Genomic DNA, 20471 nt, shown 5'->3' with positions numbered 1-20471 from the left:
AGGCTGAGTTCAGGTTCCTCCTCCAGGCAATTTGCCTTGGACTCCTCCCCTATCTGCCCATGGGATCTCTGTCCACTCTGGAATCCTTCCCCTCCCTTCCCTGCCAGGCCCTGGGACCTGAGCATCCCCATCTGGCGCAGGATACATGTTCAGTTATCGGCATCATATTATGGGCAGGATTATTCATTTTATTGATTATATCCTTCTTTGGGTCTAAGCCTAAGGATTACGTCCCCCGACTCCCAAATTCATACACAAGGTTCAAACCTTTTTTTTATCAAGACCCAAAGTAAGAAATACATTTTACACCAGGGCCAGCTACACAGATATGTGAATGTGTGTTATTCACAAAAAAATGCTTAGCCTTACTGCATTGGATGCATCCTGCTTCCTTCCTTCCTTCCTTGGACAGAGTCTCAGGCTGGAGTGCAGTGGTGGTGGCACAATCTCGGCTCACTGCTGCCTCCGCCTCCTGGATTCAAGCAATTCTCCTGCCTCAGGCTCCCGAGTAGTTAGAATTACAGGCGCCCGCCACCACGCCCAGATAATTTTTGTATTTTTAGTAGAGACAGGGTTTAACCATGTTGGCCAGTCTGGTCTCAAACTCCTGACCTCAGGTGATCCACCTGCCTCGGCTGCCCAAAGTGCTGGGATTACAGGTGTGAGCCACCACGCCCGGCCCTCTAATCTATCTTATCCTATTTCTTTTTGTTATTGCTGACTGCAGGGCACTACACTGATTTTGCCCGTGACCTCCAGTTTGAACATGCTGCACAGAACAATGAGGTTCCTAAGAGCAGGGACCAGATCTTGCTCCCCTCCCTCCCCACAGGACCACTTAAGGGCCTGACTGAAGAGCACCCAGGACATGTGGCAGGAGCGTGACTCTAGCTCCAGAACATTCTTCAGGTTCTACAGAGATGCTCCATCAGATCAGGAGAGAAAAGCAGGGAGGAATCCTGGCTCATTCATTCCACGAATATTTCATTCATTTATTTAGTCAGTCAGGCCGGGTACTGTGGCTCACACCTGTAATCCCAACACTTTGGGAGGCTGAGGGGGGGGGGGTGGATCACCTGAGGTCAGGAGTTCGAGACCAGCCTGGCCAACATGGCGAAACCCCGTCTCTACTAAAAATACAAAAAAATTAGCCAGGCATAGTGGCGTGCGCCTGTAATCCCAGCTACTTGGGAGGCTGAGGCACGAGCATCGCTTGAAACTGGGAGGCAGAGGTTGCAGTGAGCTGAGATCACACCACTGCACTCCAGCCTGGGTGACAGACTCCGTCTCAATTAAAAAAAAAAAAAATTAGTCTGTAAACAAACATTTATGGAGCCCCTTCTATATTCCAAGACTGTTCTATCCCCTGAGAAGTGAATGAGGCAGACAAGTTCCTGCCTTCATGGAACTGACATTTTAGTGGGCTGGGAGGACAGTAAACAAGTACACAACAAAAAAAGAAGGATCATTTCTTCTGGTCCCTGCAGGGCTGTCGGGGAGAGAGTGAGGGTCCATAGATAGACAGCTGGCCCCTGTCTGAGGGAGAGCTGCTCAAGCATCCAAGCTCCATGTGGAAATGCTCTTTAAGTGCCCACTATGTGCCTGACTCTGGGCTCAGGACACAGAGATGAATAAGACCCTGCCCTGCCCTCGAGGTGCTCACAGACCTGTGGGAGAGGCAGACAAGTCACGGATCATTTCAGAGCCCTGTGTTTCCTGCAGAGTCGGGGTGGGGCCAGGGTGCTGGGGAAGCACGATTGGTGGCACCCAGCAGGGCGGGATGCAGGACCTTCCAGGTCAGCTAGGGGTGGGGAGACGTGGGTGCATTCAAGGGCCCTGCCATCTCTAGCAATGTACGGAGGTTTGTTCTGGCTTCTGCATCAGACAAGACCTGAGTTTTCATTTGGTTTCTGCCACTTAGCTGTGTGACCTCAGGCAAGTCACTTAATGTCTCTCTGAGCCTCAGTTTCCACATCTGTAAAATGGGGATAGTCATACCTACCTTGACGAGTTTTGAGATCAAATGAACTAATAAATTTAAAATTCTTAGCAAATAGCTGTCTGAGAGGAAGTTCATAATAGGAGTTGTGGTTATCAACATCAGAAGATTCCTCTCCAATGCTTGGTCCTTCTGCCCACACCTCCTCCCTCCCCCAGCCAGCACTCGTACAGAGCCCCCGGGGCATGCAGAGAATCCCCCACCACTACTGCCGTCAGAAAGGTGCTCCAAGTGGCCTTCTACTGGGTCTCGCTGCAGAGTCCCAGGCTCTGGACACTGGGAAAGACAAGGGGTGGGAGGGGGCTGCCAAACCCTGCAGCAGCAGGACCATCCATCCCTGAATAAAAAGGCTGTCACCCCTTCCGTCCCACCCTCTCCCTCCTTTAAATAACTCAGATCTGGCCAGGCGCAGTGGCTCACACCTGTAATCCCAGCACTTTGGGAGGCTGAGGCGGGCAGATCACCTGAGGTCAGGAGTTTGAGACCAACCCGGCCAACGTGGTGAAACCCCATCTCTACTAAAAATACAAAAATTAGCCAGGCATGGTGGCAGGCACCTATAATCCCAGCTACTGGGGAGGCTGAGGCAGGAGAATCGCTTGAACCCGGGAGGTAGAGGTTGCAGTGAGCCAAGATCGCGTCATTGCACTCCAGCCCAGGCGACAAGAGCAAAACTCCGTCTCAATAAATAAATAAATAAATAACTCAGATCTGTTGCCCAGTTGTCTCCAGGCAACACCACTCCAGGCTCCCAAGGATGTCTCACTCTGACAGAGCCCTTTATGAAGATGCTGCAGGGAGGTGGGGGTGAGGAAGGGGTCAGGGATCTACGGAGGCCAGGCCTGACACAACCTCCCAGGGGCTTTCGTGTGACGAGCTCCAAGGCTGACACTGCTCTGGGCTAGTGGGCACTTGGAGGGGTTGCTTACCAGGCACATTCCAAAGGCCGAGGCCCCCAGACTTGCTAGGAAGGTCCCAGACTCTGTGAAGCTTCGGGCATGAAGAAGCCAAAGCAGTGCCTTGGGAAGGTCACTGGCCAGGGTTCAGTTTCCTGCATGCCAGGCTCAGTGCCAACCCTCACTGGCTGTGTTATCCCAGCCAGACCACCACTCTCTGAGCCTCAAAGAACCTAAGCGCTGGAAGACAGTTTTGCTGATGGGTGGGAAACAGATATTCTCACACTTTTCTGGCAGTATCCATGCAAATGACAAAGGCACAGACCCTTTGCCTCAGCAATTCCATCACTAGGACTTTCGCCTAGAAATGTGCTTGCATGTGTGCAAACTGACAACTGAACAAGGCTATTCATAGTTTGAGTGAGATGATGAAAGAGAAGATTGAAAGGTCTGTCAGTAGAGAGGTGATTGGCTAAACTATGGAACATCCAAAACTAGGAACACCGTGCAGCTATTTTAAAACCCAAGGCAGATGTATGTGAGCTGAGAAAAAATGCTTGCTAGAGTAAAGGGCAAGATTCAGAGATGGACATGGACAAAGATGACCACAGTGGTGTTGACCATGACAGTGGGGTGCTGGAGGCAGCCTCAGTATCTGTCTCTAAGGTGATGAATAAGTCACATGGATTCCAACCACAGAATCCTGTCCGACAGTTACACCCACCCAGATGCACACACACAAATGTGCAGCGAGCTTGGAAACCCAGTATCCAGGGATAAGAGTAATAAATGTATAATACTATCGAGGCTGAGTGCGTTGGCTCATGCCTATAATCCAAGCACTTTGGGAGGCCAAGGCCAATGGATCACCTGAGGTCAGGAGTTCAAGACCAGCCTGGCTAATATGGAGAAACCTCGTCTCTACTAAAAATACAAAAATTCAGGCCGGACACGGTGGCTCACGCCTATAATCCCAACACTTTGGGAGGCCGAGGCGGGAGGATCATGAGGGAGGTCAGGAGTTTGAAGCCAGCCTGGCCAACATGGTGAAACCCCGTCTCTACTAAAAGTACCACAAAAAAAAAAAAAAACTAAATTAGCCAGGTGTGGTGGCGCATGCCTGTAATCCCAGTTACTCAGGGGGCTGAGGCAGGAGAATCACTTGAACCCAGGAGGCGGAGGTTGCGGTGAGCCGAGATCGTGTCATTGCACTCCAGCCTGGACAATAAGAGTGAAACTCCACCTCAAAAAATAAATACATAAATAAAATAAAAATAAAAATACAAAAATTTCCTGGGCGTGGTGGTGCGTGCCTGTAGTTCCAGCTACTTGGGAGGCTGAGGCAGGAGAATCGCTTGAACCCAGGAGGCAGAAGTTGCAGTGAGCCAAGATCATGCCACTGCACTCCAGCCTGGGTGACAGAGTAAGATCCTGTGTCAAAAAATAAAATATAATAAAAAATAATATTATTTATTATATAATAAAAAATAATATTATTTATTATATAATAAAAATATTATTTATTATATAATAAAAAATAATAAATCACACTTATAGGCTTGTATACACACAGTCAACCTCTGGAAGGCTGTAGAAGAGGCTGAAAAGAGGACTTAGTCCTAAGAGGGGACTGGGGTCTGGGAGAGGGGAGCAGACTGACCTCCCACTATCCTACTGCATAGTTGAGTTTTTTACACCATGCATTTCTGACATTCTAATAATTAAGACATTTGTCATTTTAATTTGGAACATTCTTACATATGCACAAATGTAGAGAATAGTATAATTGATTCTATACACCCATTGTCCAGATATGACAGTTATCAAGATTTTGCCACACTTGCTTCATCTACTGTTTTCCTTTTCCTTGTTGGAGTGTTTTAAAGCAGCCCCCAAATATCACACCATTCACCCCTTCTGCCATCAGAATACGATGGACATAATAAATGCAATTTAAAGAAACAGAGTCAGGGCCGGGCATAATGGTTCATGCCTGCAATCCCAGCACTTTGGGATGCTGAGGCGGGCAGATCACCTGAGGTCAGGAGTTTGAGACCAGCCTGGACAACATGGTGAAACCCTGTTCCTACTAAAAATACAAAAATTAACCAGGCACGGTGGCGGGCGCCTGTAGTCCCAGCTACTCGGGAGGCTGAGGCAGGAGAATTGCTTGAACTCAGGAGGCAGAGGTTGCAGCGAGCCGAGATTGCACCACTGCACTCCAGCCTGGGCGACAGAGCGAGACTCCATCTCAAAAAAAAGAAAAAAGAAACGGACTCTAAGAAGCCAGTCAGTGCACCCTGCCAGACCTGGAGCAGCCCTGTACTAAACCCCCTTGCCTCTGCTTGACTATTCCCAGCAATGAGGAACTCATGACCTGACTCAGTCTCCTTTCTTGTGGTGCTAGCTGAGGTCTAGGCTTCTCAGAAGGCACAGACACCAGCCAGCCCACCCACCCTTTGCATCTTGCAGGCACCCAGCAGCAGGCAGGGGTGGCCCAGGGGAACCCAGCCCAGCTTATCAGCCCGCTCACCTCTACAGCAAACTCAGAAGCATAATGCATTCAATGCACATTCACTTCAACTAGCAGCCGCCGGAGCTCCGCTGGCTTGGAAGGCCCCTCCAGACACCCCCAGACAATCTGAGATAAGCATTCACGGTCCAGCAGTTAGGAGTAAACAGTTGTTCCCCAGCCTGCCTGTGTGTGCATTTGAATCACTGGTGGAGGGGTTACACGACAGACTCCCAGGCTCCGCCCAGCCCTCCTCAGCCAGAATCTCCAGGGCTGAGCCTGGGAAAGCCCCCTCGGAGGGTTTAAGGCCACGGTAGAATGTTTCACATTTGGGAATCCATGTTCCAAGGGACTCCGAGGTAATCCTCTGGCTGATAGGCCAATCTGACCCTTAGCCGCCTGCCAGCCTGGGGTGAGATGTTCCCAACTCCAGCTGGCAGAGGCCCCAGCGATGCCAGCTCCTCTTAAGGGTGGGCTGGCCAAGGCTCAGAAGGAACACATGCAGTCCCTAAATCCAAGGTGCCTTCCGCGGCTAGAGGTAATGGATTCAGAGATGGTACCGTGCCCCCTCCACTGTGGGTAGATAAAGGCAAGCTTTAAAGCCACGCTACTGGATTTAAATCCCAGCTCTGTCCCTTACCAGCTGTGTGCCCCTAGTCTCAGTCTCTTCATCTACTATAGGACCATAATAAGAGTCCTGCCTCAGGAGAATTGCTTGAACCTGGGGGGCGGAGGTTGCCGTGAGCCAAGATCACACCACTGCACTCCAGCCTGGGTGACAGAGCGAGACTCCATCTCAAAACACACACACACACACACACACACACACACACACACACACACACACACAGTCCTGCCTCATGGGCTAGGGTGAGGCTGCTGTGCTCTGCCCACTACACCCCGTCCATAAGAAGTCCTGGGCAGGGGCTCCTTGTGGGCAAAGGCAGGGAAGGGGGGCTCCACACTTGGGCTCTAGGGAAAGAAAGTTTCCTTAAAAACCTTGCCTGGTGACCAGGCACAGTAGCTCAAGCCTGTAATCCCAGCACTTTGGGAGGCCGAGCCGGGTGGATCACCTGAGGTCAGGAGTTTGAGACCAGCCTGGCCAATGTGGTGACACCTCCTCTCTACTAAAAATACAAAAATTAGCTGGGCATGGTGTCGGGCACCTATAATCTCAGCTACCCGGGAAGCTGAGGCAGGAGAATCGTTTGAACCCGGGAGGTGAAGGTTGCAGTGAGCCGAGATCGCGCCATTGCACTCCAGCCTGGGTGACAAGAGCAAAACTACATCTCAAAAAAAACCTTACCTGGTGGACCACACCTGCCTTCTTCCCAGTAAGACAGGCAACTACTCCGACAGAGGGAAGCCCAGGGGCCAGGCTCCATAAGGGCCATCACAACAGATCAAGTCCCCTGACCAGGCTTCTGGAAACCTGAATCCTCATCTCATTCCTGTCTTCCCATGTCTGTGCTGGGAAAGCCAAGGAGCCTCTCAGCCTCAGTCTCTTCATCTGTAAAATGGGATAAATAACCCCTGCCTTGTGCGTAATCACAAGGTACTGTCCTCAGACCCCGTCAATGGGGGGTGGGTGGGTAAACTGCCCATTTGGTGGCAGGTGGCGAACTTCAGATAACTCAGGGGCATTGCCACAATGAGCCCCAGGGCACTCCTTCCATGAAAATCCAGGCTGGGGGGCTCGTAGTGAGGAGTTAATCTAACTCCCCACCTCATCCAAGAATCCCCTCCATGCACTCCTGTCCTATCCTGGGTGCGTTCTAAGTGCTGGCTACTGTGTCAGAATCATGATCTCACTCCTCACAAAACCCTTAGAGCAGGTTCCATTGCTATCCTCATTTTACAAATGAAGAAATTCAGGCACACAGCAATTGAGGAACTTGCCCAGTGTTCCCCAGCCCTCTCTGACTCCAGAGCTCTTGTATACGGCTACTAAACTGCTGCCTAACTTGAATCCTCCCAGTGACGGGGATCTCACTCCTTCAGACGCCATCCGCTTCCCCGCGAACTGTGCGGGGTGTTAGGACGTCCTTCACCCTTCTCCACACATGAACCCGACATCCACTTCTCAGTGGCTCCCCTCACTCTCCAGCTATTCTTTTACTTCCCCTCACCTCCCACCCCCCACCTCCACCACTGGGACCACCAGAGCACAGGTACCTCCTCCCGGGGGACTGCCCCTCAAATATTTGAGAAACACCATCTCATACCCCCACCCCCAGGCTTCTCCAGCTAAACATTCCAGGACTTTCAAAGGCTGGTGGGAACCTCTAGGACCAGAAGAGGCCTTAACTGTGATTCTAACTCCAGCTCCCCAGGGGGCCTCTTTCCCAAGGGGGTCAAGAAGAGAATGAAACCCTGCTTTCTCTCAACACTCAACACCTCCCATACCCCCCAGAAGCTGGTCTCCTGGCTCTGACTTCACACCTACCTGACATTTGACACTTAGAGACCCATGGACAAGTCCCTTTCTGCACCCCCAGGCCCGCCCGTCAGGAGTTGTCACCCACTTCAAGTCTCTGAAGAGGGTGCAGGAGTGGGCTGCTGCTGGCAGGAGGCAGCGAAATTGTTAAAATGCCCACCATTTCCTTACAGGGAGAGAGGGTGAGGCCAGGACGGTGGGGCTGGGGTGGCTGTGGAAGGAAGGAAAGAGCCCATGCAGGGGACTCTCGGAGCCCTGGCAGCATCCCGGAGGTGAGCTTGCTAAGCCTGCCTGCCCCGGGGCCCTTGCTTTCTCCCCTCAAATTCCTGCCCCTTCTCCCCAGAGTGTTCCACATTCTCTCACGTTCTCTTACAACTTCCCTCACGCTTCTCAAGGAGGGCTGCCTGCCATCTCCAAAAACCACTATTTTAAAAGCCTCGGTGATTGTTTAATGGGTAAGGAGTTCCAGCCTGAGAAGATGTAAAGCTTCTGGAGATGGATGGTGCTGATGGTTGCACAGCTACAAGAATGTACTTAATGCCACTGTAGTGTTTAATTAAAAATCGTTAAAATGGCTGGGCGCGGTGGCTCACACCTGTAATCCCGACACTTTGGGAAGCTGAGATGGGCAGATCACGAAGTCAGGAGTTCAAGAGCAGCCTAGCCAACATGGTGAAACCCCTTCTCTACTAAAAATACAAAAATTAGCCAGGCATGGTGGCGGGCACCTATAATCCCAACTACTCAGAGGCTGAGAAAGGAGAATCGCTTGAACCTAGGAGGCAGAGGTTGCAGTGAGCTGAGATCGCGCCACTACACTCCAGCCTGAGCGACAGAGTGAGACTCTGTCTCAAAAAGAAAAAAAAAAGGTTAAAATGGCAAACTTCATGTTATGTATATTTTACCACAATTTTTTTTAAAAGACAACCCACTGAATGTGAGAAAATAATTGTCCTCCTCCAACAAAAGGCCTCCTCACAAAGTCCCAAGGGGGCCTGAGATCCAGCTCTGAATCAGGAAGACCAGCATGTGGAGGAGGTAGAGACACTGGAGGTCCCAAAGCCCCTCTCCCCTCCAGCCTCCCCGGTGACAGCCCTGGGGCATGGGGCAGGATCAGAACAGTGAAGGCCAAGAGACTTCCAGTCCAAACCCCACTCAGAAGAGCAGAGCTAAAAGGAGCCAGAGAGGGAGTACCTGGCCCAAGGTTAACAGTAAGTTAACCACGAAACTGGGGCCTCAGGGGGTAAATGTCTGTGGGACCCTGGCAGGGGTTCAAAGCAGAAGACCAGGACCTTTCTCCCTGCTGTCCTCCATCCTGAGGAGGGACCAGCCTAATCCAACAAGCCCCCTCAAGCTCTTCATTCACCTGTGAGTTCTGCATTCAGCCTGTGCAGCCTTGGCGTATGGAGGCTTCACCCCTCCCTGAGTGGCAGCGTGATGTCTTGGAGGGTGTCAGGCTTTGGAGTCAGATTGGCCCGCCTGAGTCCTGACTCCACTCTGTAAATATGTTTCTTAGACTCAGGCCCCTCACCTGTAAAACTAACATAATCACGCCTAATTGGCAGGGTTATTTTGACGATGACGGCAAATGACATAATACCTATGGAGGACCTGATATATAGTAGGTGCTCAGTAAATACTCATTCTCTCCTCCTCCCTCCCTGGAACCCAGGGCCTCTGCCTTCTACAGAGTCAGCAGTACCACTGTCAGCCACTAACTGCCTGAGTAACCAGGGATAAGTCTATTCCCTTCTCTGAGCCTCAGTTTCCCCACCTGTAAAATGGAAGAGAACCAGGGGACCTTTCACCAGCATATATAAGCTACTTAAAAGTGTATGTAGAGGCCGGGTGCGGTGGCTCACGCCTGTAATCCCAGCACTTTGGGAGGCAGAGGCGGGCGGATCACGAGGTCAGGAGATCGAGACCATCCTGGCTAACATGGTGAAACCCCGCCTTTACTAAAAATACAAAAAATTAGCTGGGCATAGTGGTGGGTGCCTGTAGTCCCAGCTACTCGGGAGGCTGAGGCAGGAGAATGATGTGAACCCAGGAGGTGGAGCTTGCAGTGAGCCGAGATCATGCCACTGCACTCCAGCCTGGGCAACAGAGCGAGACTCCATCTCAAACATACATACATACATACATACATACATACATACATACATACATACATACAAGTGTACATAGAGGCCGGGCATGGCGGCTCACTCCTGTAATCCCAGCACTTTGGAAGGCCAAAATGGGTGGATCTCCTGAGGCCAGGAGTTCGAGACCAGCCTGGCCAACATGGTGAAACCCCATCTCTACTAAAATTACAAAAAAATTAGCCGGGCGTGGTGGTATGTGCCTGTAATACCAGCTGCTCGGGAGGCTGAAGCAGGAGAATAGCTTGAACCCGGGAGGCAGAGGCTGCAATGAGCAGAGACTGCACCACTGCACTCCAGCCTGGGCGACAGAGCAAGACTCCATCTCAAAAAAAAAAAAAAAAAAAGGAGGTACAGTTTTAGCCTGGAATACCCCAGCAACTGAAATGAGTGAACTACCCATACAAAGCAACATCATGGATGAACATCATAGACCTAATGATGAGTGAAAGAAGCCAGGCCGGGTGCGGTGGCTCATGCATGTAATCCCAGTACTTTGGGAGGCCGAGGTGGCTGGATCACCTGAGGTCAGGAGTTCGAGACCAGCCTGGCCAACATGGTGAAACCCCATCTCAACTAAAAATACGAAAAAATTAGCTGGGCATGGTGGCACACACCTGTAATCCCAGCTACTCAGGAGGCTGAGGTGGAAGAATTGCTTGAACCCGGGAGGTAGAGGTTGCAGTGAGCCAAGATTGTGCCACTGCACTCCAGCCTAGGCAACAAGAGTGAAACTCTGTCTCAAAAAAAAAAAAAAAAGCCAGATACAAACAAGAATACAGGATAAGATCTCATCATTTATATGAAGTCCAGGGACAGGCAAAATTAGCCTATGACAATCATCAAGGCCAGAAGAGCAGCCCGTGGGTGAGGGGCAACACTGACTGGGAGCGGCCCGAGGGAACTTTCTGGGGTGCTATAGCTTGATCTGGATAGGGGTTACGTGGACAAACGCATGCGTGAAAACTCATCAAGTTGTAACTTTAGGATTAGTACACTTTACTGTATGTGTATCTTCATCATCCCCTTCACCTACTAAGTTCAACCTCACTTCTTTCCACACTGGTCAAGTGTGCTCTGTCCTCAGGGCCTCTGAACTAGCTTGTCCATATTCCTAGAAGGCTCCCCATCCAGATCTTCCTTTCTTCCAATTAGGTCTTTGCTTAAATGTCGCCTCCTTGGAGAGGCCTTTCCTGTCCCCACATCTGAGGTGGCCACTCAGTTCCTCCCTACTGCATCCCCCTATTGTAATTCTCAGCATAGCACCTGTAGTCCTTATCTGATGTTTTCCTGGTTTTTTTTGCCTGTTTGTTTATTGTCTGTCTCCCTCCACTAGGATATTAGCTCCATGACAGCAGGAATGTATCCATCTGGGTTCAAATCTTGGCTCCACCTAGAGCAATGTCTGGCACACAGTGGGTACTAAAGTAATATTATTAATTAGATATTAATCTCTAGAGCAGGTAGAATTATGTCTGGAGACTTTACGCTCCTCTCACCACCTTTTCTCCTCTAGGTGGTGAGAGGAGAGTAAAGTCATAATTCTACCTGCTTTACCTGTTCTTTTTTTTTGAGACGGAGTCTCGCTCTGTCACCCAGGCTGGAGTGCAGTGGCACGATCTCGGTTCCCGCCTGCCGGGTTCACGCCATTCTCCTGCCTCAGCCTCCCCGTAGCTGGTAGCTGGGACTACAGGCACCTGCCACCATGCCCGGCTAATTTTTTGCATTTTTAGTAGAGATGGGTTTTCACCGTGTTAGCCAGGATGGTCTTGATCTCCTGACCTTGTGATCTGCCCGCCTTGGCCTCCCAAAGTGCTGGGATTACAGGCGTGAGCCACCATGACCGGCGCATTTTTTGTTTTTTGATTCACCCCACAAACATTCGAGAGAGACCTACAATGTGCTGGGTGCAATCTGAACTCTCCAGGAGTTCACCACGGGGTAGAGGAAAAAGACCCACGCCAGATCTTTCCAGTGGAATGTGAGTGATGGACAATGGGGCATGTCCCCAGGCCTGGGGGAATGCCCAGAGTGAGTGGCTGGCTCAGTCTCCCAGTTCCCAGGGCTGGGAGCCCACAGGGGCTCCTGGGTGTGGCCACGGATGCAGCCAAGTAACAGGAAAGCCTGTGCCTTGGCAGCAAGCCACCCCCTTCTAAAAAACCAGAGAGCTCAGCCAAGGCTACCCACTGTCCCCGCCTGCAGGCCCAGTCACCTGCTGCCATGGCAACCTGTCTTGCCAAGCCAATGGCACTGGGCACAGGAGGCACAGTGCCAGGGGGGCACAAGGCATCTGCCAGGCTCCCCTGTTCTGGCAAGGGAGGCACCTTGGCCAGCTCACGCCACAGCTGGGAGAGTTGTGTGTTGTTCCTGCATATGTGTGTGCATGCCCTGCACAAGCATGCACAATTGTGCCCAGTGCAACAGTAGGCAGCCTCTCCCCAGCTGAGACTGGACTTCCAGTAGGGGGTAAAGAATTGTTCAATGATAAAAGCTCCCATTTACTGAGCATTGATTACATGCCAGGCACCAGAAAAAAAAGACTTTTCATGTATTTCCTCATTCAAGTCTCACAACAATCCTATGAGGCACGTAGTATTCCCACTTTACAGGGGAGGCATAGATTAGTTAAGAAACTCGCCTAAGCCTCACAACTAGGAAGCCCCAGAGCCGGGAGTAGAACCCAGGAATGGGGCTCCAAAGCCTTAATGTTAACTTCCAGGAGCAGTCTCTCCACTGACTGAGTCACTCAGTTTCCCTACTAGTCATTTGTTTTCTGAGCTCTGCGCAAGCAAGGAAAAAGAGACAGGTGAGATCAGGTCTCTGGCTTGAGTTGCCCCTAGTCCCCTTGTAGGACATGCAGGTAGATAATCATGATGCCAAGCCGAGGGTGGTGGCTCACACCTGCAGTCCCAGCACTATGGGAAGCTGAGGTGGGCGGATCGCTCAAGGTCAGGAGTTTGAGACCAGCCTGGGCAACATGGTGAAACTCCATCTCTACAAATAATACAAAAATACGCTGGGCATGATTGCACATGCCTGTAGTCCCAGCTACTCGGGAGCCTGAGGTGGGAGGATGGCTTGAGCCAGGGAGGTTGAGGCTGCAATTAGTCATGATTGTGCCATTGCACTCCAGCCTGGGTGACAGAGCGAGACCCTGCCTCAAAAATGAAAACAAAAACAAAAAACAAAAAAATCACAATGCCAAGTCGTAAATCTCAAAAAAGCAAGTGCCAAGGGCTTTCTGGGACTGAAGACAAAAGAGGGCATGGCCTGGCTCCCACATCTGCCATGTGGATCTCAAGTGGGGGCCCCGGGATTTGCATAGGAGCTGTTCTGGAATCTGAGGACTGCTATGGGTACCCATCTACAGAGGTGAAGCTCTGGTCTGGGAGGCCATCTGCTGGACAGATGGCAGCAGGACAACTTTGGCAGCTGGGCCTCCACACCTTTCCTTCACACGTGTTTCCTGGGTGCTGACTGTGTGCCTGGCACTGTGCTAGGCACGGGAGAGGCAGAGCAACACAGACAGTAAACCAGACAGCCCTGTGGAGCTTGCCATCTGGTGGGGGTGGCAGACATTAACCCATAGCCCCAGAAATAAAGACATAATTCCAGCTGACAGTAAGTACTTGGGGTACTCCTAGGGAGTGTGACAGGGGTTCGTGGGGAAGGCCTCTCCAAGGAGGTCATCCCTTAAGCTAAGACTTGAAGGCTAATTAGATGTGTGCCAGGCAAAGAGTGGGAGAAAGGGCATTCCAGCCAGAGGAGACAGCAGGGGCAAAGGCCCTGCAATGGGAACACTCACATCACACTCTAGAAGCGGAAAGAAGGCTGCTGCAGCTGCACAGCAATGAGCCAGAGGGCTGAGGCCCGCAGGCCGGGGTTCTGGAGCTTGTATTTTCTTTTATTTTTTTTTGAGACGAAGTTTTGCTCTTGTTGCTCAGGCTGGAGTGCAATGACACGATCTCAGCTCACTGCAACCTCTGCCTCTTGGGTTCAAGTGATTCTCCTGCCTCAGCCTCCCAAGTAGCTGGGATTACAGGCGCATGCCACCACGCCCGGCTAATTTTTGTATTTTTAGTAGAGACGGGGTTCTCCACGTTGGCCAGGCTGGTCTTGAACTCTTGACCTCAGGTGATCCGCCCGCCTCGGCCTCCCAAAGTGCTGAGATTACAGGCGTGAGCCACCTGGCCCGGCCTGGAGCTTGTATTTCATCCTACAGGCAATGAGAGGCACTGAAGGGTTTCAGTGAGGGGAGTGATGCCATCCCATCTAGCTCCTGAGAGGAGTGGATTCTGGGGGGCCAGGGTGGAGGCAGGGAGGCCTCCACAGTTGTCCAGGAGAGAGATGATGGTGGCTGGGACCAGGTGGTGACAGAAGAGATGGGGAGGAGCAGGTGGATTCTAGAGAGCCATTTTGGAAGTGGGATCCACATGGCTGGTATGAGGTTGGATGTTGTGGTGTTGAGGGAGGAAGGAATCAGGAATCAGGGGCTTGGCTGCAGACAGAACGCTGGAGAAGGCGCAGAGGAGTTCAGTCTTGATGAATGGAGCCGGAGATGACTGTGAGGGAGCCCACGGGAGACGCACGGTAGGCCGGTGGGTGCAGGGGTCCAGAGTTCTGAGGACTGGTCTGGGGTAGACAAAGGCCGGGCACCATGGGCATTGGTGGCTTTTAAGCCCCAGGATGGGTGAGACCCTCCAGGAGAGGCAAGTAACCGCAGGGGAGAAGAGAAGTCGAAGCACAGCCTTGGAGGGCGGGCTTCGAGGGGAGGGGAGGCCTGGGGCAGGGGGAAGAGGCTCAGAAGACAAAGAGGACTGAGCAGGGGCCCAGACGGCGGAAGGGAAGCTTAGCCGCACGAAAGCTAAGAGGTGGGGAGCATTTCAATCGTGTCAAAGGCTGCTGTGCGGCCAGGCAGGGCTGGAGCCAATTTGGTAACACGGAGTCTCTCCTATACAACCCAAGCCAGGGCAGACGCCATGGTGGGTGGAGGCAGGAGGCACACAATGGAACCGGGTGAAGGGTGACCGTGAAGCGGGGAGTGTAGGCACCACGGACAACTGCTGTGGAGAAGGTGCGGCAGCTGGAGGGGAGAGGGCTGGCTGTGAAGATGAGGGCACAGGGCAGAGTGGCGTTCACCTATGGGGTGGCTGAGGGGGAGTACGTGGGGGAACGGAGGACAGGCAGGGCTCCGAGCTTTCCAGCCTCTGTTCCTTCCACTTTCACCTTGTGTCTGCAGTTACCCCATAATAACCACCCCTAACTCAGATGAGGACAGCTGAGTCCCAGAGAAGATCCCAACGTCACAAGGCGGGGGCTCTGCCTAAGCTGGCTCCGCGCACAGCAGGCTGTTTGGAGTCTGCCAAGACTCATGCAAAGGTCATGTGGGCCCCTTGACCAAATCTGGACGTCCTTCCCTCCATGCCAGGTTGGCACTGCCCAGCCCCAGCAACCCCCCCATCCCCACCCATCCGAGGCAGTGCCACAGAGGACAGCAGACAGACCAGGCACGGTCAGAGAGATCCATTTTGAAGGGGCTTGACCCTCCTACTGTCGCGGGAGGGGGCTTTTAAAGGAAAAGAACACAAAAATACAAATGCAAAAATTAGGTCCGGGCCTTGCAAGGGTCTGAAACTTAAGCTTCAATTAGCCTCAGGGCAGCTCCGCCTCTGACTGCAGTGACCTTGAAGAAGTGACTTCACCTCTCCGAGCCCCGGTTCCTCATCTGAAAAGGGAGCCGTCAGTATAGTGCCAGCGGGAGGGCTAACTGAGGTAACTGTGCAAAATGTTTATCACAAAGCAGCGTCCCAGTGAGCGATGGACAAACGGTGGCAGTGGCTCTTATAAACCGGGCTCCCTGGGGCTTGGAGTGGGGTGGGGTGGGATGGGGGAAGGGTGAAGCAGTGGGTGGGCGGATGGCGGGGGATAAAGGTGGGGGAGCCGCTCTCTCCCTGAGCCCAGGAACAGCAGTAATCCCTTGGTTTAGCAGTGCAGCACCGCGGTAAGGCGGTGATGGTGTGCGGGGCCCATCCTGACTCTCCTGCCCACGCACCAGGCCTCGCCTGGCACCAAATGGGGGCCCCCCGCGTTTGGTGGCGCCCCACAATTTACCAAGCAGGCACATCCCACCCTTCCCACCAGCAGCAACAGAATGAGGCCACTGGACAGAAGCCCAGCGAGGGGACGGGACAGATGGGAGGGGACACATCCCGCTGAGGGCAGAGCCCTGGGTAACCCCCACCCCGCCCGACCACAGGGCCTGGGCAGGAGCTCGCGCCGGAGCGTCTCTGTCTCACTAGGCTCTTGTCCCGGCCCCGGCGGCGGGACCGGCAGTGCGGGGAACAGGGGAGAGGGGCGGGTCCCCCTTGGCGGCGACAACGCCACCCGCCCGGCGGGAACACTCACTGCCGCCTCCAGCCTCGGTCTTCTTGCTCCGCAGCCCGTCTGCTCTTCGGCTGACTCACCCGGGTCGCCCTCCGCGCGCTTTCCCACGAGGGCGGGCGCCTGGGCCTCTGCCTCCAGCCCAGCCGGCCGGCCTGGCGCGCTCACCTCACCGGGCTCCGTAGGTCCTGCCATGCCTGGGGCCTCCGCTGAGCGCCTGGGCTGTGCCAGGCGCCCGGCCAGGCGCGGCGGGGCGGGCGGGACTGGGCACCGCGCCGCACAGACCACTATGCCCCTTCGCTGCAAACAAGATTGCGAAGCTAGAGGCAGGCAGGCAGGCACGCCGACTCCAAGTCCAGTGCTCTTTTCCTCTGCCTCAGCCTCCTCCTGCTGACAGCAATCAAGAAAAGTACCCTTTCCAGCCTCATTTATTAAGCATCTATTACGTACACCGGGCACTGAGTGAAAGGGTCCAGAGGGGGCTTCTGTCCCCTGGAAGCTCACAGTCTAAGAGAAGGTGGATAACAGGGAACACGGTGTAAGGACCCTGAGAGAGGCTGACTGGGCTGGAGAAATCCTCCAGGCTGGCTTCCTGGAGGAGGAAGCCTAAAGAATTAAGCAACTTTTTTTTTTTTAGGCGGAGTCTCCCTCTGTCGCCCACGCTGGAGAGCAGTAGCGAGAACTCGGCTCACTGCAACCTCCGCCTCCCGGGTTCAAGCGATTCTCCTGCCTCAGTCTTCTGAGTAGCTGGGATTACAGGTGTCTGCCACCACATTCGGCTAATTATTGTATTGTCAGTAGAGACGAGGTTTCACCATGTTGGCCAGGCTGGTCTCGAACTCCTGGGCTCAAACAATCTGCCTGCCTTGGCCTCCCAAAGTGCTGAGATTACAGACATGAGCCACCACACCCAGCCAACGTTTATTTTTAAATGGTAGTGGAGAGGATGCTTTATGGCCCGGAAAGATGTTCTGGTTTCATAAAAGAAGTAGTTTACAGAACAGTTCACATTGTGTGAATCTTCTAAGTGCACATAAATGCATGTGCACATAAATACCTAAGTGCAGGGGACAGGAAGAATGTACCCCCAAAATATTAACCATGGTTATATCTAGATCATGGGGTTACAGGGGATTTTTCTCTTCCTGTATATACCGTTATATAGTCTGCAAATTTTCTACAGCGAATAGGCATTCATTTTGTGTTTAAAAAGCACAATACGGGATGGGCACGGTGGCTCACGCCTGTAATCCCAGCACTTTGGGAGGCCGAGGCGGGTGAATCACCTGAGATCAGGAGTTCAAGACCAGACCAGCCTGGCCAACATGGTGAAACCCTGTCTCTACTAAAAATACAAAAATTAGCCGGTGTGGTGGCAGGCGCCTGTAATCCCAGCTACTTGGGGGGCTGAGGCAGGAGAATCGGTTGAACTCAGGAAGTGGAGTTTGCAGTGAGCCGAGACCGCGTCATTGCACTCCAGCCTGGGCAACAAGAGTGAAACTCCATCTGAAAACAAAAAAAAAAAACAAAAAAAGCACAATAGCACAATACATAAGAACTAAGCAGGCAGGGGAGGGGGGCAGGGGGGTGTGTGGGAATTGGCTGCATTTCATCAAAGAGTGGGTAGAGGAGAGGGAGAAGAAACTGTACAGGCCCTGAATGTTAGGAGACACTTCCACCCGCTGGCCTCAGAGCTCCACCAAGCATAGGACAGTCAAGTGCGGCGACAGGGCTAGGAATCATCCTAGATGTGGAAACTGAGGCTCAATAAGGTCATGTGCTGGTCAGGGTTGAGCTGGGAGCAGGACCTAGGTGTGCTGCCCCCCATACCCCAGCCTAACTGGTACTAATTTAAACAACCCTCCTGCTCCCCCACCTCTGCCCTCAGGGAGTTTCCTTGGCTGCACTTTCCCATCAAGGACGATTTTCCCAGCAGGGTGGGTCCCTCCAAATTTTTGTTACTGACCCCACCATCCCTGATGGGGCAGCTCAGGACCTGAGGCAGGTACAGGCAGAGAAAGGGTATGTGACCTTAGATCTTCCAGTGGGGAAGGAAAGGTCGGACAGGGACAGAGAGGACAGAAAAACGGAGCTGAGGGGTGGGGTGGGAGGGCAGGAGTAGGCAAGAATAGGCTGGGAAGGTTGGGCTGGAAGCTCCCCTGGGAGGGAGGCTGGTGTGGCCAAGACAGGAGCTGGGGGGAAGTGGCCCTGCGCTTGGAGCCTCCCTCACTCCTCATAACCCCAGCGCTTTCTGGCTCTGAAACAGCAGCCTTGGTCAGGGAGTGTTTGCAGCGCAGGTTGGTGGGAGAATGATTGGGGGATGGGGGCATGAACACGGGAGCAATGGGAGAAGGTCGGGGAGGCCTTGTAGTTTTGTAACATCTCGAATCATGAGGAGATGATCTCAGCTTTAGATTGCCCATTTCCCATTCCCTAAAGATATGTGGGGTGATCTGTGGGCAAACAGGCACAGATCGCTCCTGCCACCCCTGACACTCCTGACACCCAGAGTAAACGGAAAGGGCCAGGAGAACATGCTGGTGTCTTAGCTGTTTGTCCCTCCTGATGGCCAAGGCAGGGAATGGAGTTTAGAATCAAAATAGTCCTGGGTACCAATTCTAGCCACTTAGTACCAACTTGACCTTGGGCAGGTATTCCAAGCCTTCATTTTCTCATCAGTAAAATGGGAATAATTATACCTACAGAATGCAACATCAAAGGAGCTCCTTGGAGTCATGCATTTAACATAGTTACCCTGTACCTAATTTCAGAATAAAAATGAGACAAGTCTGAAGCACTCAGCACCATGCCTGGCACAAATTTGGTAACAATTGGCTTCAAACAAGTTTGTCCATCTATGGGATGGACACTCAATTGGCACAGCCCCCACTGCTGTCCTAATTCCCAAGTGTCCAGAGGTTTTGCTAGTAGCCCTAGAATGAAAGACTCTGAGGGTGGTTGGTGGGTGAGAATGTATGCAAGCCACTTCCAGTGAATGATCTACTCAGGGAAGCTACTTCCGGCCCCACTGGGTCTCTGCTTAATCGTATTAGCTCTCCCAGGCTTCCCTGCATACCCAGCCAGGTATGGGGTATGTGCATCTTCCTCACCTGCCTTTGAAGCCTGGGGCCCTTTGATGTTAGTGGGGAATGCACCAGCCTGGGGCTCTTGAGAGCTCTGCGGTCAGTGGCCAACAAGGAACAGGGACTGGGGAGTTTGAGATGATGTAAGTGCCCCCAGCCCCTGCCTGTGTGGGCTTTGGAGTCAGACTGCCTGCACTCCAATCCCAGCACCGTTGTTAATGAGCTGTGTGACCTGAGGCAAGTCACCGAGCCTCTCTGAGCCTCCGATCCCTCATCTTTAGAAATACCTATCTCATGGGTTTGTGAAAAGCCAGAGAGCTAAAGAGAGGGAGAGAGAAAGACAGAGAGAGAGACGGAGAGAGAGAAGAGATTATGCTGTTTCCCACCTTACTCTTTGAAAGAGCAAGGATTCCCGGGTCCCACCCCAGGGCCCCTGAGGCTATAGACCTACAAGACTGATATCCTTAAAAGTTTTAAAGCACTTTTAAGCTCTAATAGAAGTACGTTCTATTAAGTATACTTCTATTTCAGAAGTATAAATGCTACAAACTTACAAAGAACATCAAAGTTTATTTAAATTTTTTACACATTAGTTTTATGAATTTCAAATAAGATATATATAGACATATATAATTTTTTTGAGACAGAGTCTCACTCTGTCACCCAGGCTGGAGTGCAATGGCACGATCATGGCTCATTGTAGCCTTAATCTCTTGGGCCCAAGCTATCCTCCCACTTCAGCCTCCTGAGTAGCTGAAACTACAGGTGCTTCCCTCCACACTTGGCTAATTTTTGTAGTTTTTGTGGAGACGCTGTGTCACCATGTTGCCCAGGCTGGTCTCGAAGTCCTGGGCTCAAGCAACTCTCCTGCTTCACCCTCTCAAAGTGCTGGGATTACAGGCATGAGCCACTGTGCCTAGCCAAGTTTTATAGTTCTAAAGTTCATTACATTTAATTTCATTTTTACAGCTTTAGTAAAATACACACAACTGCGAATATTTTCTTTTTTTTTTTTTTTT

The 20471-nt window shown here is 52.2% G+C and overlaps 1 protein-coding gene across 2 annotated transcripts in view, besides 4 other annotated features; it reads right to left on the bottom strand.

Annotated features, from left to right (window-relative positions):
• The window catches only part of PALD1 (phosphatase domain containing paladin 1), a 109966-nt gene extending 93491 nt beyond the window's left edge, over window positions 1–16475 (bottom strand). The window contains exon 1 of one of the 2 annotated variants that reach the window (XM_011539638.3): window positions 16394–16475. The gene's annotated coding sequence lies outside the window, so the exon portion shown is untranslated. Of the gene's footprint in view, window positions 1–5428; window positions 5570–16393 lie in introns of those variants that run through there. The other variant, XM_047425057.1, reaches the window with a different exon arrangement.
• Window positions 1226–1992: an enhancer, noted in NCBI's record as "H3K4me1 hESC enhancer chr10:72232724-72233490 (GRCh37/hg19 assembly coordinates)". NCBI's record gives its function as "activates a minimal SCP1, AML or CMV promoter by ChIP-STARR-seq in primed H9 embryonic stem cells {active_cell/tissue: H9 hESC(primed)}" and the evidence as "EXISTENCE:reporter gene assay evidence [ECO:0000049][PMID:30033119]".
• Window positions 18710–19235: an enhancer, noted in NCBI's record as "OCT4-NANOG-H3K27ac-H3K4me1 hESC enhancer chr10:72215481-72216006 (GRCh37/hg19 assembly coordinates)". NCBI's record gives its function as "activates a minimal SCP1, AML or CMV promoter by ChIP-STARR-seq in primed H9 embryonic stem cells {active_cell/tissue: H9 hESC(primed)}" and the evidence as "EXISTENCE:reporter gene assay evidence [ECO:0000049][PMID:30033119]".
• Window positions 19236–19762: an enhancer, noted in NCBI's record as "OCT4-NANOG-H3K27ac hESC enhancer chr10:72214954-72215480 (GRCh37/hg19 assembly coordinates)". NCBI's record gives its function as "activates a minimal SCP1, AML or CMV promoter by ChIP-STARR-seq in naive and primed H9 embryonic stem cells {active_cell/tissue: H9 hESC(naive and primed)}" and the evidence as "EXISTENCE:reporter gene assay evidence [ECO:0000049][PMID:30033119]".
• Window positions 19353–19647: a silencer, noted in NCBI's record as "tiled region #8837; K562 Repressive non-DNase unmatched - State 21:Repr". NCBI's record gives its function as "represses a minimal TATA promoter and a strong SV40 promoter by Sharpr-MPRA in K562 cells {active_cell/tissue: K562}" and the evidence as "EXISTENCE:reporter gene assay evidence [ECO:0000049][PMID:27701403]".

The sequence above is a fragment of the Homo sapiens genome, chromosome 10, assembly GCF_000001405.40.
Source record: "Homo sapiens chromosome 10, GRCh38.p14 Primary Assembly".
NCBI classification, from domain to species: domain Eukaryota; kingdom Metazoa; phylum Chordata; class Mammalia; order Primates; family Hominidae; genus Homo; species Homo sapiens.
This window is presented reverse-complemented; position numbering and strand designations above follow the sequence as displayed.